Here is a 14,885-nt window from a genome sequence, read left to right on the forward strand (position 1 = left end):
CAACAAGATACTCAAAGCTTACTTTGTAGTCTCTTCAACATACTTCATGTTATAGGTAAGATTTCAAACATTATTTCTGTCATTGTACTAGAGATGTTTATATCTTAAGATATTTTTCAACCCTTTAATTGTTCTTTCAAAAATATTTCTCTCTTTCCTCCATTCCTTACACTTGTTAATATGTAAAATACTGATAACTAGGCCATCTCTACTACCTGAAATCCCTCCCTGGTCAGACCCCTGCAAAAAACAGCTACTGATTCTCAAGAGGCAGTTACCATCCTGTATTCCCCTAAACTCCCCTCCCTCAACCTCTTGAGTGCTGTCAATACCTTCTAAAAACTTCTATCACTCAGAGACGATTCCTTGATCATAATCCTCTGCACTTTGATTCTGGAGGTTGTTTACTCAGTTGATCATAGAACCAGGCTGCTTCTCCCAATTGAGGGATCCCAGGCAAAGCCTGTGGTCAGGCTCCAAAACAGCTTTTCAGGCCCCATCTTTTACAGCTGATGCTGTCGCATACCCTTCAAAAGACTTTCAGGACTTGGTCCTTCAACAATAGTATTCTGTGGTGGTGTGTGCCTGTAGTCCCAGCTACTGGGGAGGGTGAGGCAGGAGGATCGCTTGAGCCCAGGAGTTTGAGGCTACAGTGAGCCATGATCAAGCCACTGCACTCCAACCTGGGTGACAGAGCAACACCCTGTCTCAAAACAAAACAAAAGCAGCATACAGCAGGGGTCCCCAGCCCCTGGGCCAAGGACACGTACTGGTCCATGGCCTGTTAGAAACTGGGCTGCACAACAGAAGGTGAGTGGTGTGTGAGCAAGCATTTCCACCTGAGCTCCGCCTCCTGTCAGATCAGTGGTGGCATTAGATTCTCACAGGAGCGCGAACCCATTGTGAACTGCACATGTGAGGGATCTAGGTTGTGCATTGGGGACCAGTGGCATACAGCATTCCACCACTGAAAAATGGCCTCTGTGGGCTTATGTAGTGGGATCTTGTATTGTGTTCAACTACACTTCAGAGAAACATTTTATTGCTATAGAAAATTTTGTTCTTGTGTTTCACAAGTCTTGCCAAGTCTCTTAATGTGGTATTTCTTCAGAGATGGAAGCCAGCAGAAATCTCTTGTTATCCAGATACAAAAGAAAAAGACTATTTATCTGGGAGTAGTCTGGCTTTCTTCATAAATACATTTTGTAGGTTGATGGCCCACAAACAACTGAAATGGAAAACCATCTGTAGAGACTGCGACTTCATGAAAGGGTGGGAAAATTAGAAAGCACAGCACTCCAATATCTGTAGGAGAAGCAGAGGCCCAAGCAGAGGCCCACAGTCAGCTTTATACTCACCAGAATGGCTTGAATGAGGTTGGAGTTGGCAGACAATGTGATTTGCATACATGGTATTGGCTTGATTTTAAACCCCACCCCCACTTTTATAAAAATCCCACCCCCACTTTTGTAAAAGCATAATATAGCTTTTGGTTTTATTCATTCTTTAGAGGACATCTTTGGGTTTCTTAAGCATTGCAGGCAATTGATGGAAGATTTTAAAATCAGTGGTAGTGGCAGTCTCAAAGTGAATTATTGTCCTGAGTCCTGATACACAGAGTGGAAAACTTAGTTATCTAAAGGACTGCCCTTGAGGCCTACTGTCCTGAATGCATTTTTAGTTAGTGTTGGAAACAAGTTTCACTGGACTCCCAGTGGGGCATTCCCACCCAAGCACAAGTGCCCTCCTTACCCACAAAGTAGCTTGCCTTTTCAGTGAGTAGAGACATATACATACATACATGTGCATGCACATACGTGCGCATACACGCACATACACACACTCTCTCACTCTCTCTCGTTTTATCTCTCTCCCCTCAGGAGTGATTTGAATTAGACAATAAATAGCCAGACAGCACCCCCAGGAATGGGCACACATGCAGCAGCTGTCCAAAGGAGAAGTCACTTTACTTTCTTTTAAACTTGCAATGTTTGTCTTTATTTTGTTCTTTATATTTTCAAAGTGAAAAGAAATAGTACTGAGTCAATTTCTTTTTGTTTTTTTAAATATTTGTTCTATGTATTTACAAGCCTTAAAGTTGCTCTAAAGATTTCAAGAGTATTAAGAGTACTTTTCTCAGGGTAGCACTTTTTTTTTTTTAAACAATTCTTGGAGTTCTGTGGTCCACAGCATTTCCTTCTGTTTCAATGTTATGTATGTTTTGATTACTATTGTGATTTTTTAAATTTTCTGAAGCAAGCTGAGAGGCAGGCAGAAAGATTTGATGCCAAAAAAAAAAAAATCTTTCTTACCTTGTTCACCCCAAACTTTCTCAAATCTGGACTAAATGCTATACCTTAAAACAAACATGAGGTGCATCTTGAAGGGGAGGGAAATTTATTTCTCTGCTTTTCTATTATACAAGTTGTTTACAGAAACTGCAAATTAAAAAATTACACTGGCATTTGCAGTCCTTAAAATAAATTAAAAGTTCTCAACTTTTTTTTTTTTTGCTAAACATTTTTTTAAGTATGAGTCCTTGTTTAAAAAGAAAAGATTAAAACAGAAAATATTTTCTATAAATAATACATGTATTTTGGTTTTAGTGCTCCCGCCCTAAGGTTTGAAGTTTACTTTTATCCAGTACCTTTTTCCTCCATGATCACCTTTTTTTCTCTTTCCCCTCTCCCACTCGTGCACACGTGGGGGTTTCTGCGAGAATTGGCCTTGCTGCACTGTGATTGGCGAAGACGTGAAACTTTTTAAAAAAATACTTAAATTGTTTCTTTTGTTTCATTTTGTGTATTTGAAGTTTTAGTTATCCTCAGACTCCTCTTCTGCTTCCCGCAGCCACGTGAAGAATGCCGTGACAGATTTCAGAGCCACGCCCTTCCCATTCTGCTCTGCAGGGTCCTTGCTGCTCTCCCATTTGTAGAAGGCATCCTCGGAGATCACCTCCTCGTCATATAGACAATCAAAAAACATCCGCAGCAAATCTGCAAGGAGGTGAAAATAAACTATAAGCTTTGGGACACTGTAGTTATGAGGAAAAGAATATATTTCAAAATAATGAATGACTGAATAAATGTGCATTAATTCCCCCAGAAAAAAGCAATAATGACAATTCACCATACTTGCTCTTGACAGTATAAACAGCCCAACAACTTGTTTAAAGAAGAGGAAAAAAAGATTGAAGCAGTCTAAATTCTTTTTTATTCCTATTATTTTGTACAATTTGAACTTTTTTTCTGTTTTTTTTTTTTTTTTTTTTTTTTTTGAGAGACAATCTTGTTCTGTCCCCAGGCTGGAGTGCAGTGGTGCGATCTTGGCTCACTGCAACCTCTACCTCCTGGGTTTAAGCAATTTTCCTGCCTCAGCCTCCTAAGTACCTGGGATTATAGGCGCCTGCCTGGGTTTAAGCAATTTTTCCTGCCTCAGCCTCTCAAGTACCTGGGATTACAGGCGCCTGCCTGGGTTGAAGCAATTTTCCTGCCTCAGCCTCCCAAGTACCTGGGATTACAGGCGCCGGCCACCACAGTCAGCTAATTTTTGTATTTTAAGTAGAGAAGGGATTTCACCATGTTGGCCAGGCTGGTCTCGAACTCCTGACCTCAGGTGATCCGCTCATCTTGGCCTCCCAAAGTGCTGGGATTACAGGCGTGAGCCACCGTGCCCGGCCCAATCTGAACTATCTTCTGATACCAGTGAAGCTGTTTCATATCATGTTTATCTCAATCTAAACCCTATAAAATTTAAATACGAGTAGTTTTTTACTTTCTTTTTACTATTTTCTGCGCTGCAAGTTTACTGTATTATTTTTACAAAATTTGGGGGAAGGGAGAAAGGCAGGATATGCTTTTTATTCCTTGTAATGTTGTTTTAAAAATGAAGAGGTGGCCGGGCGCGGTGGCTCACACCTTTAATCCTAGCACTTTGGGAGGCCGAGACAGGCGGATCACGAGGTCAGGAGATCGAGACCATCCTGGCTAACACAGTGAAACCCCGTCTCTACTAAACATACAAAAAATTAGCCGGGCATGGTGGCGGGTGCCTGTAGTCTCAGCTACTAGGGAGGCTGAGACAGGAGAATGGCGTGAACCCGGCAGGCGGAGCTTGCAGTGAGCTGAGATTGCATCACTGCACTCCAGCCTGGGTGACAGAGCGAGAGTCCGTCTCAAAAAAGAACAAGAGGTGATCATTCACATGGAAAACATGAGTAAAAGCTATCTCATCTGGATTTTATCCAGTGAAACTACACCTGTTATTTACTGTTTTAAACGTCCAAACTATCCGTGTGATTTTAATTCTCGGTTTTACTCTCATAGTAAAACTGAGAATTATAGTTATCATATATAATAAGTTATTAGCTTATAGTTATTATAGTCAGCTCTCCGATCATTTATATTAATGGAGGGAGGCAGTGGAATAAACAATAAATGCTAATCAATATTAGGTTTATCATGAGTCGTATTAACTTTTTTTTTTTTAAATGGAGTTTTGCTCTTTTTGCCCAGGCTGGAGTGCAGTGGCATGATCTCGGCTCATTGCAACCACCGCCTCATGGGTTCAAGTGATTCTCCTGCCTCAGCCTCCCAAGTAGCTGGGATTACAGGCATGCGCCACCACGCCCAGCTAATTTTGTAGTTTTAGTAGAGACGGGGTTTCACCATGTTGGCCAGGCTGGTCTCAAACTCCTGACCTCGGGTGATCTGCATGCCTCGGCCTTTTTTTAAAAAGACTTATCTTTGTAATTATATTAGTTAAGCTAATATTATCAAATTATCTGATTCATGGTAGATTGTCTCTTCAGTTACACTATAAGGATAATTTGCTTTCATCTTTTCCTTTATCTCCAAGAGCGATTCAGGACTAGGAAAGAAGGAATTTTACAAAAGCGAAAATAAGGAAGTACCAAAGAACTACTTGAGTGCTCTCTCTAATAGCTATGTACTGCCCGCTTTAACAAATACCAACTGAATTTTCAAGATGTAATAAAAATCATTAGTTAACACCAAGTATCACTAAGACTTAAGTGTACAGGTTACTTTGTTTCATTAGCCAAGAATTAATCATAACCCTTAACTAAAAACTATTCTGAAACTCCTTAGTAAATATAGCATGGTAAATACACTACACTTAGGGTCTTTGTTGGGTGTCTAAAGATTCTAGAGTATCATCCTCAACATCATTAACCATTTTCATGCCCTAGACCTGTGTTGTCCAATATGGAAGCTATTAGTCAAACATGGTTATTTAAATTTAAAGTCAATAATTCAGTTCCTAAGTCACAACAGACATATTTAAGTATAGAATTGCCACATGTGGCTCATGATTACCATACTCAATGGTATGGATATATACTACCATCACTGTGGAAAGTTTTATTAGGCCTGCCCTGGAATGGGGATGAAATAACCTAATCTAAATAGTTTTCTTGTTGTGATATTTTCATACAAACATATAACAAATTCATTTTTTTTTTTTTGGACAGAGTCTTGCTCTGTTGTCCAGGCCGGAGTGCAGTGGCGCCATCTTGGCTTAGTGCAAACTCCGCCTCCCAGGTTCAAGTGATTCTCGTGCTTCAGCTTTCTGAGTAGCTGTAGCTGGGACTACAGGCACATGCCACCACACCTAGCCAATTTTTGTATTTTTGTATTTTTTTTTTTTTTGAGATAGAGTCTCGCTCTGTCGCCAGGCTGGAGTGCAGTGGCATGCTCTTGGATCACTGTAACCTCCGCCTCCTGGGTTCAAGCGATTCTCCTGCCTCAGCCTCCCAAGTAGCTGGGATTACAGGTGCCCGCCACCACACCCAGCTAATTTTTTGTATTTTTAGTAGAGACAGGGTTTCACTGTGTTAGCCAGGATGGTCTCGATCTCCTGACCTCATGATCCATCTGCCTCGGCCTCCCAAAGTGCTGGGATTACAGGTGTGAGCCACCGTGCTCAGCCATTTCTGTATTTTTAGTAGGGATAGGGTTTCACCATGTTGGCCAGGCTGGTCTTGAACTCTTGACCTCAAGTGATCTGCCTGCCGTGGCCTCCCAAAGTGCTGGGATTATAGGCGCAAGCCACTGCACCCGGCCAAATTCAAATTTATTAAAGTTAGTTATATGAGTTTGTGTTATTAGTGATTCTTTTATTGTCCTTTGTTCGAACCCTAAATCATCTCTAAGTCCTGGCTTGGATAAATCTCACTCATTGGTTAGATTAACTGTAACATGAGATAAACTTACTGGCAGGTTGATCAAGTTTTACTATCGATGCTTGTAGTGCATAAAGTGCTTGCAGTTCCTTCTCTGTATCTGAGTCTAGGTACTTGAGTAAGATCGGCACTCTCTGCTTGATAACAGCAGTGTCCACTCTGAAGGTAGAAGAGTCGGCTAAAGGTGATAGAAGAACTAGGAATTACATTTAAGGAGTTAACATAGAATTATCTTTAATTTTCTTTCTTTTTTCTTTTTTTGAGACAGAGCCTCACTCTATTGCCCAGGCTGGAGTGCAGTGGCACAATCTAAGCTCACTGCAACCTCCGTCTCCCAGGTTCAAGCTATTCTCCTGTCTCAGCCTCCCAAGTTGTTGGGACTACAGGCGCCTGCTCCCAGGCCTGACTAATTTTTTTGTGTATTTTTAGCAGAGACAGGGTTTCACCATGTTGGTCAGACTTGTCTCGAACTCCTGACCTCAGGCGATCCACCCGCCTCAGCCTCCCAAACTGCTGGGATTACAGGCATGAGCCACTGCTCCTGGCCTTTCTTCTTCTTCTTCTTCTTCTATTTTAGATTTTAAATAATAGAGACAGGGTCTCGCTATATTGCCCAAGCTGGTCTTGAACTCTTGGGCTCAAGCAATCCTTCTGCCTTGGCCTCCCAAAATGCTGGGATTACAGGCATGAGCCACTGCAACCTGGCTCATTTTCAATTTTCTGAGTACAAAGGACCCATATGGCTCTACAAGAGAAGAGGAGGCAAGAAGGTCTAAGGCAAATATTTTGAAATCCAAAATGCTCTGAAATTATTAATGAGACATTCTCTCACAAATAATAAAAACTATGGAGGGGATGCATTTTGAATGCTGGTTTCCCTCAGGAGTAGCGTACCCAATTATCTTTAATTGTAATGAAACAGTGACTGTGGTTTTATGACAAACTACAAAAGCAAAATTAATCAAATGTCTTACCATAAAAAAAGGTAAGTGAGGTGATAGATATGTTAATTAATTTGATTCAATCATTCCACATTGGACATGTATATCAAAACATCACATTGTACCCCATAAACATATACAATTATAATTTGTCAATCAAAAATAAATGAAACATGGAGTAGGAATTTCAAGTGAGTATTTAAAAAAAGCAACATAAAAAAGCAACATTAGAAAAGGAAATTAAAGTGACACTTAATACAAATCTTTTCAGAAGGCTAAAATAATTGGAACCATTTTGTTATTACTAGGATAAAAACTAACTGTGGCAGTGGCAGATAACATACCTAATCTAGGCCTTTTGAGGGAAAGGAATGATAAAAAGGGGCTGAGAAATGAAAAGCATCCTCAGTACAAAGACACATACGGGTTTATATTATCTGTAAGTTATCACTAAGACACAATTTTGTTTTTAAAAGCAGATTTTGCTTTTAAAATCTGGCCATCGTGGCTCATGCCTGTAATTCCAGTTACTCAAGAGGCTGAGGCGATAGGATCCGCTTAAGCCCAGGAGTTCAGGTCCAGCCTGGGCAACACAGTGACCCCCACCATCTCAAGAAAACAAAAACCAAACAGCTTTTGGACTTCCCAACTCGAATTTTAAAACATGAAAGTCTTATGATGGTTCTATGGATACTGAAAATGATTTTTAAAAATTTCATGAAGACTTTCTACTTAGCTTTGTTATTTATCTCATTAAAGAACATTGAAAATAAATTCATTGCAAATCTTAAATTACAATTCTGAAGCTATATTAAGTGGCAGAAAGCCATCTTCAAAATAGAGACAGACTTGAAATTCTGAGACACCTTTGCACTGATGAATTTTTTTTTCTCGCTTCAGTGACAGAAGTATGAATTTCTATCTGAAACTAAAGAGATGTCTTCATTGAATAATGTTAAACATTGTATACAGCTTGGAATATTTGGGATTTCTACTGACCCTAATCCTATCAATATTAACAATTCATAAGCCAATAAAATTGTCTTATCATATCAAATAAAGTCAACAAAGAACAGGACAAACTGTTGATATTTTTTTCTTCATGTATGTACTTATATAACATGACTTTTTTGATGAGAATAACCCTATACTGATAATTAGATTAAGAATATTCAACCTGTTCATTATAATTCATTATTGGAAGGAGGAGGCGGCCCTGAATGTTAGAAGTGAAAAGATAAAGAAAAAGCTACACGCAACGTAGTGAAAAACAACCCAAGGAGCATGCAAGGCATGTGGTAGCTGGTTAGATCTGGGTTCTCTGTAGGCGGAGCAGCTATTTGTCTCCACGCTTGAGACAACCAGGCATCACAGACAGAAAGGACAGTGCACAGAAAAGTGAGCTACATAGGAGAAGTTTTGAAAACAATGTAAAATCAAACTGTATACTTAGTAGTTGACATAATGGGGATTTCAGATGTTATGAGCTGCCTTCAGAAATGTTACTTACCTATAATAGCTGCTTTACAAACAGCAGTCATTAAAGCTCTAAGGAATGTAGGTGAACTCATCTGGATTTCGTCTAGATTAGCCTGAAGTCAAAAAGAAATAAAACAATTAAAGATACCTTGCTCAGCCAGGCACAGAGGCTCATGCCTGTAATCCCAACACTTTGGGAGGCCGAGACAGGAGGATCACTTGAGGCTAGGAGTTGAGACCAGTCTGGGCAATATAGTAAGACCCTATCTCTTAAAAAAAAAAAAAAAAAAAAAAAAGCTGGGTATGGTGGCACATGCCTGTGTTCCCAGCTACCTGGGAGACTAAGGTGGGAGGACTGCTTGATCCCAAGGGTTTGAGGCTGCAGTAAGCAATGACTGCACCACTGCACTCCAGCATGGGTGACAGAGCGAGACCTTGTCTTGAGAAAACAAAAAACAGGCCAGGTGCAGTGGCTCATGCCTGTAATCCCAGCACTTTGGGAGGCTGAAGAGGATGGATCACCTGAGGTCAGGAGTTCGAGACCAATCTGGCCAACATGGTGAAACCGTGTCTCTACTAAAAACACAAAAATCAGCTGGGTATGGTGGCAGGCAGAGGCTGAGGCAGGAGAATCGTTTGAACCTGGGAGGTGGAGGCTGCAGTGAGCCAAGATTGCACCACTGCACTCCAGACTGGGCGACAAGTGCAAAACTCCATCTCAAAACAAAAAACAAAAAACAAAAAAAGATACCCTTGCGTATCAGATAAATGATCTCTTGAACATCAGGACTGATCTGGCACTAAGAACAGATGAGTCACTGTTTTTTTTTTTTTTTTTTTTTTGAGACTTTGCACTGTCACCCGGGCTGGAGTGCAGTGGTGCGATCTCAGCTCACTGCAACCTCTGCCTCCCAGGTTCAAGCGATTCTCCTGCCTCAGCCTCCTGAGTAGCTGGGACTACAGGATCCCTGCCTCAGCCTCCCGAGTAGCTGGGACTACTCAGCTAATTTTTTAGTACTTTTAGTAGAGATGGGGTTTCACTATGTTGGCCAGGCTAGTCTCAAACTCTGACCTCGTGATCTGCCTACCTCAGCCTCCCAAAGTGCTGGGATTACAGGCATGAACCATCACACCCAGACCAGATGAATCACATTTTTGCACATTCTTGCTAAAATTAAATGTCCAATTCATTGAAAAATAATTTGGCTATTGCCAGTTCTATGTGCAAATATTTGAATTAGCAGTATTTACTTTTCAGGGTCCTTCCCACTGCCTATCCTTTACTCATTCAATTATACAGTGTTATGTACTTGTACATTTGGAAGTATAACCACTTAAAAACATATTTTATTCCTCAATAAATAATCCATATTAAGATCATCTACTCAATCTATGAAAGAACAACACCACAACTGCAGTGTATTTTAATGACTACTTACTCAGAAGCATGTAACTATTTTTACATGTGCCAACACTGCTTTTTCATCTTAATTTTAATGTGAATTAGAAGTTAATCTCAAGCATTACTTAACCCCTTAAGTGGTGAGAAAAATGTTACTCTTTTCTAAGGAAGGCAAAACAAAAGCATTTAAAAACTAATTTAATTAAGGTTAAAAATTCATCTCCCCCTCCCCCTCCCCCTCCCCCTCCCCCTCCCCCTCTCCCTCTCCCCACAGTCTCCTTCCACGGTCTCCCTCTGATGCCGAGCCAAAGCTGGACGGTACTGCTGCCATCTCGGCTCACTGCAACCTCCCTGCCTGATTCTCCTGCCTCAGCCTGCCGAGTGCCTGCGATTGCAGGCGCGCGCTGCCACGCCTGACTGGTTTTCGTTTTTTTTTGGTGGAGACTGGGTTTTGCTGTGTTGGCCGGGCTGGTCTCCAGCTCCTAACCGCGAGTGATCCGCCAGCCTCGGCCTCCCGAGGTGCCGGGATTGCAGACGGAGTCTCGTTCACTCAGTGCTCAATGGTGCCCAGGCTGGAGTGCAGTGGCGTGATCTCAGCTCACTACAACCTACACCTCCCAGCCGCCTGCCTTGGCCTCCCAAAGAGCCGAGATTGCAGCCTCTGCCCGGCCGCCACCCCGTCTGGGAAGTGAGGAGCGTCTCTGCCTGGCCGCCCATCGTCTGGGAGGTGAGGAGCCCCTCTGCCTGGCTGCCCAGTCTGGAAAGTGAGGAGCGTCTCTGCCCAGCCGCCATCCCATCTAGGAAGTTAGGAGCGTCTCTGCCCGGCTGCCATCCCATCTAGGAAGTGAGGAGCATCTCTGCCTGACCCGCCCATCGTCTGAGTGGGGAGCGCCTCTGCCCCGCCGCCCTGTCTAGGATGTGAGGAGCGCCTCTGCTGGGCCGCAACCCTGTCTGGGAGGTGAGGAGCGTCTCTGCCCGGCCGCCCCGTCTGAGAAGTGAGGAAACCCTCTGCCTGGCAACCGCCCCGTCTGAGAAGTGGGGAGCCCCTCCGTCCGGCAGCCACCCCGTCTGGGAAGTGAGGAGCCTCTCCGCCCGGCAGCCACCCCGTCCGGGAGGGAGGTGGGGGGGGGTCAGCCCCCCGCCCGGCCAGCCGCCCCGTCCGGGAGGTGAGGGGATCCTCTGCCCGGCCGCCCCTACTGGGAAGTGAGGAGCCCCTCTGCCCGGCCAGTTGCCCCGTCCAGGAGGGAGGTGGGGGGGTCAGCCCCCCACCCGGCCAGCCGCCCAGTCCGGGAGGGAGGTGGGGGGTCAGCCCCCCGCCCGGCCAGCCGCCCCGTCCGGGAGGGGGGAGGGGGGGTCAGCCCCCTGCCCGGCCAGCCGCCCCGTCCGGGAGGGAGGTGGGGGGATCAGCCCCCCGCCTGGCCAGCCGCCCCGTCCGGGAGGTGAGGGGCGCCTCTGCCCGGCCGCCCCTACTGGGAAGTGAGGATCCCTCTGCCCGGCCAGCCGCCCCGTCCGGGAGGGAGGAGGGGGGTCAGCCCCCCGCCCGGCCAGCCGCCCCGTCCGGAAGGGAGGTGGGGGGATCAGCCCCCCGCCCGGCCAGCCGCCCCGTCCGGGAGGTGAGGGGCGCCTCTGCCCGGCCGCCCCTACTGGGAAGTGAGGAGCGCCTCTGCCCGGCCAGCCGCCCCGTCCGGGAGGGAGGTGGGGGGGTCAGCCCCCCGCCTGGCCAGCCACCCCATCCGGGAGGGAGGTGGGGAGGTCAGCCCCCTGCCCGGCCAGCCGCCCCGTCCGGGAGGGAGGCGGGGGGGGGGGGGGTCGGCCAGCCGCCCCGTCCGGGAGGGAGGTGGGGGGGTCAGCCCCCCGCCCGGCCGGCCGCCCCGTCCGGGAGGTGGGGGCGCCTCTGCCCGGCCGCCCCTACTGGGAAGTGAGGACCCCTCTGCCCGGCCAGTCGCCCCGTCCGGGAGGGAGGTGGGGGGGTCAGCCCCCCGCCCGGCCAGCCGCCCTATCCAGGAGGTGAGGGGCGCCTCTGCCCGGCCGCCCCTACTGGGAAGTGAGGACCCCTCTGTCTGGCCAGCCGCCCTGTCCGGGAGGGTGGTGGGGGGGTCAGCCCCCCGCCCGGCCAGCCGCCCTATCCAGGAGGTGAGGGGCGCTTCTGCCCGGCCGCCCCTACTGGGAAGTGAGGAGCCCCTCCGCCCGGCCACCACCCCGTCTGGGAGGTGTGCCCAGCGGCTCATTGGGGATGGGCCATGATGACAATGGCGGTTTTGTGGAATAGAAAGGCGGGAAGGGTGGGGAAAAAATTGAGAAATCGGATGGTTGCCGGGTCTGTGTAGAAAGAAGTAGACATGGGAGACTTTTCATTTTGTTCTGTACTAAGAAAAATTCTTCTGCCTTGGGATCCTGTTGATCTGTGACCTTAACCCCAACCCTGTGCTCTCTGAAACACGTGCTGTGTCCACTCAGGGTTAAATGGATTAAGGGCGGTGCAAGATGTGCTTTGTTAAACAGATGCTTGAAGGCAGCATGCTCGTTAAGAGTCATCACCACTCCCTAATCTTAAGTACCCAGGGACACAAACACTGCGGAAGGCCGCAGGGTCCTCTGCCTAGGAAAACCAGAGACCTTTGTTCACTTGTTTATCTGCTGACCTTCCCTCCACTATTGTCCTGTGACCCTGCCAAATCCCCCTCTGCGAGAAACACCCAAGAATGATCAATTAAAAAAAAAAAATAAATAAATAAAAAAATAAATAAATAAAAAAAAATAAAAATAAAAATTCATGAAGTGAACTGATAGGTAAGCGAATTAAGGGGATCCCACAAGAATCTTTCCTGTAGAGGTATCAGGGAAGGTGACATAGTCTTTATACCTCTACCCAGTCAAAGATCTGTTCATCATTCGCTTTGTCCTCAATAATGAGTTTCTCGAGTCGCTTATACAGCTCTTCGGCAGACAGTTCTTTCTTTGAAAGTGCTTCAGAGGAACAGGGACTGTCAGACTCTATGAAGTCCAACTTCTGAAACATAAAAGGTGGAACATATTAATATATTAATATAATTCTATGTTATTGTCATCCTGAGAGAAGAACAAAGTCATAGGTTACGTCTTCTATTTTACATGGAATCAAAATGATCAGCAGAGGCTATTTTATGTTTGTAGTTTTTTTTTTTTTTTTTTTTTTGAGACAGGGTCTTGCTCTGTCATCCAGGCTGGAGTAGTTTGGCTTACTGCAACTTCCACATCACGGGCTCAAGCAATCCTCCCACCTCAGCCTCCTGAGTAGCTGGGACTCCAGACCCACACCACCACACTTGGCTATTTTTTTGTGTTTTTAGTAGAGAAGGGGTCTTGCCATGCTGCCCAGGCTGGTCTTGAACTCCTGAGCTCAAGCAATCCGCCCTCCTTGGCCTCCCAAAGACGGGATTACAGGCATGACTCACCACGCCCAACCTGTTCGTATTATAGTTTTGAAAAACTGTCAGTCCATTATCCTTCTGAATATTTTTCCAACTTCTCATACCGTGTATCTTAAAAAAGAAGGTAATAACCCCCTATAATTATCTCTAGGCTATGGTTACACGCAAATAATCTTGAGCTTCAATCTTCCCCTTAGCTGCAACATAGCTCTTTAAGGCAGGATAGGAGCCCTAGAAAAGGGTACAATTTCACTCTCTTTCTGCAACCTATGGTTTAATATTAGTATTGGTACTCAGCAGCTATCAAAACTAGATAGTTTTGGCTTTGTTAAGTTGTGGCCATTTCGAATATAGGTGTGAGAAATGATGCTATAATTGTTTAGCACTTAGATACATAGTTTTAAAAAATCTATAATCAGGCTGGGCGCAGTGGCTCACACCAGTAATCCCAGCACTTTGGGAGGCCAAGGCAGGAGGAGTGTATGAGTTCAGGAGTTTGAGACCAGCCTGGGCAACATGGCAAAACCCCGTCTCTACCAACACAAATACCAAAATTAGCCAGGTGTTGTGGCATGCGCCTGTGGTCCCAGCTACTCAGGAGGCTGAGATGGGAGGATTGCTTGAGCATGGGAGGTTGAGGCTGCAGTGAATTGTCATTGTGCCACTGCTCTGCAGCCTGGCAATAGGGCGAGATCCTGTCTCAAAAAGAAAAAAAAAATCTATAATCAAAATTATTCATAATTTTCAAAGGACTAAAGAAATGAAGTACATAGGTATGCCTTGCTTTATGTGGCTTCATTATACAAAAACCATAAAGATGAAAATATTAAGGATTACTCACATAAGGTTTTCTCTAATACTCTTGAATACTCTGGTATGGTCCTATACCCTATCCCCAATCCACAAAGTGAAAACCACAGTCTTGAGTTCTGTCATCTGATTGTTCCGTTTCTACCACTTACGTAGCATCTCTAAATTATATTTCCCAATAAGGTTTTATTATTTATTTATTTTTGACTTGGGGTCTCACTATGTTGCCAAGTTGGACTTGAACTCTGGGGCTCAAAGATCCTTCTGCCTCAGCCTCCCGAGCAGCTGAGACTACAGTGTGCACCACTGCACCCAGCTCCATAAGATTTTAGAAACATGGCTCAATATTACAATTTTTCTGATTTAGTATTGGTTAACTATACATCCAATCCATGATGCTCCAATATATGCAAAAAAGCACAACATGAAGGCCATAAGCTGTTTAAGCAAACTGTAAGTCAAGATACAGGCCAAGTATTTTTCAACCTCATTTTTCAAACTATAAACATTTTTATATATTCATTTTATTATATATATATTATTTTGCCTTTTTTTTCTTTTAAACTGAAGTCTCATATTTATTTATTTAGACAGGGTCTTGCTCTTTCGCTCAGGTTACAGTGCAGTGGCACTATCAAGGC

At 44.8% G+C, this 14,885-nt stretch overlaps 1 protein-coding gene across 62 annotated transcripts in view; it reads right to left on the reverse strand.

Annotated features, from left to right (window-relative positions):
• The window catches only part of EIF4G3 (eukaryotic translation initiation factor 4 gamma 3), a 370,606-nt gene continuing 357,508 nt past the window's right edge, over positions 1,788 to 14,885 (reverse strand). For 36 of the 62 annotated variants that reach the window (XM_047433321.1, XM_047433366.1, XM_017002707.3 and 33 more), the window contains 4 exons: positions 12,888 to 13,034; positions 8,654 to 8,735; positions 6,234 to 6,380; positions 1,788 to 2,996 (listed from right to left, as the gene is read on the reverse strand). In XM_047433321.1, coding sequence (XP_047289277.1) covers positions 2,815 to 2,996; positions 6,234 to 6,380; positions 8,654 to 8,735; positions 12,888 to 13,034 — 558 coding nt within the window. In that variant the 3' untranslated portion in view covers positions 1,788 to 2,814. The remainder of the gene's footprint in view (positions 2,997 to 6,233; positions 6,381 to 8,653; positions 8,736 to 12,887; positions 13,035 to 14,885) is intronic. The other 26 variants (NM_001391899.1, NM_001391893.1, NM_001391903.1 and 23 more) reach the window with 3 other exon arrangements.

The sequence above is a fragment of the Homo sapiens genome, chromosome 1 (genome assembly GCF_000001405.40).
Source record: "Homo sapiens chromosome 1, GRCh38.p14 Primary Assembly".
NCBI classification, from domain to species: Eukaryota; Metazoa; Chordata; class Mammalia; order Primates; family Hominidae; genus Homo; species Homo sapiens.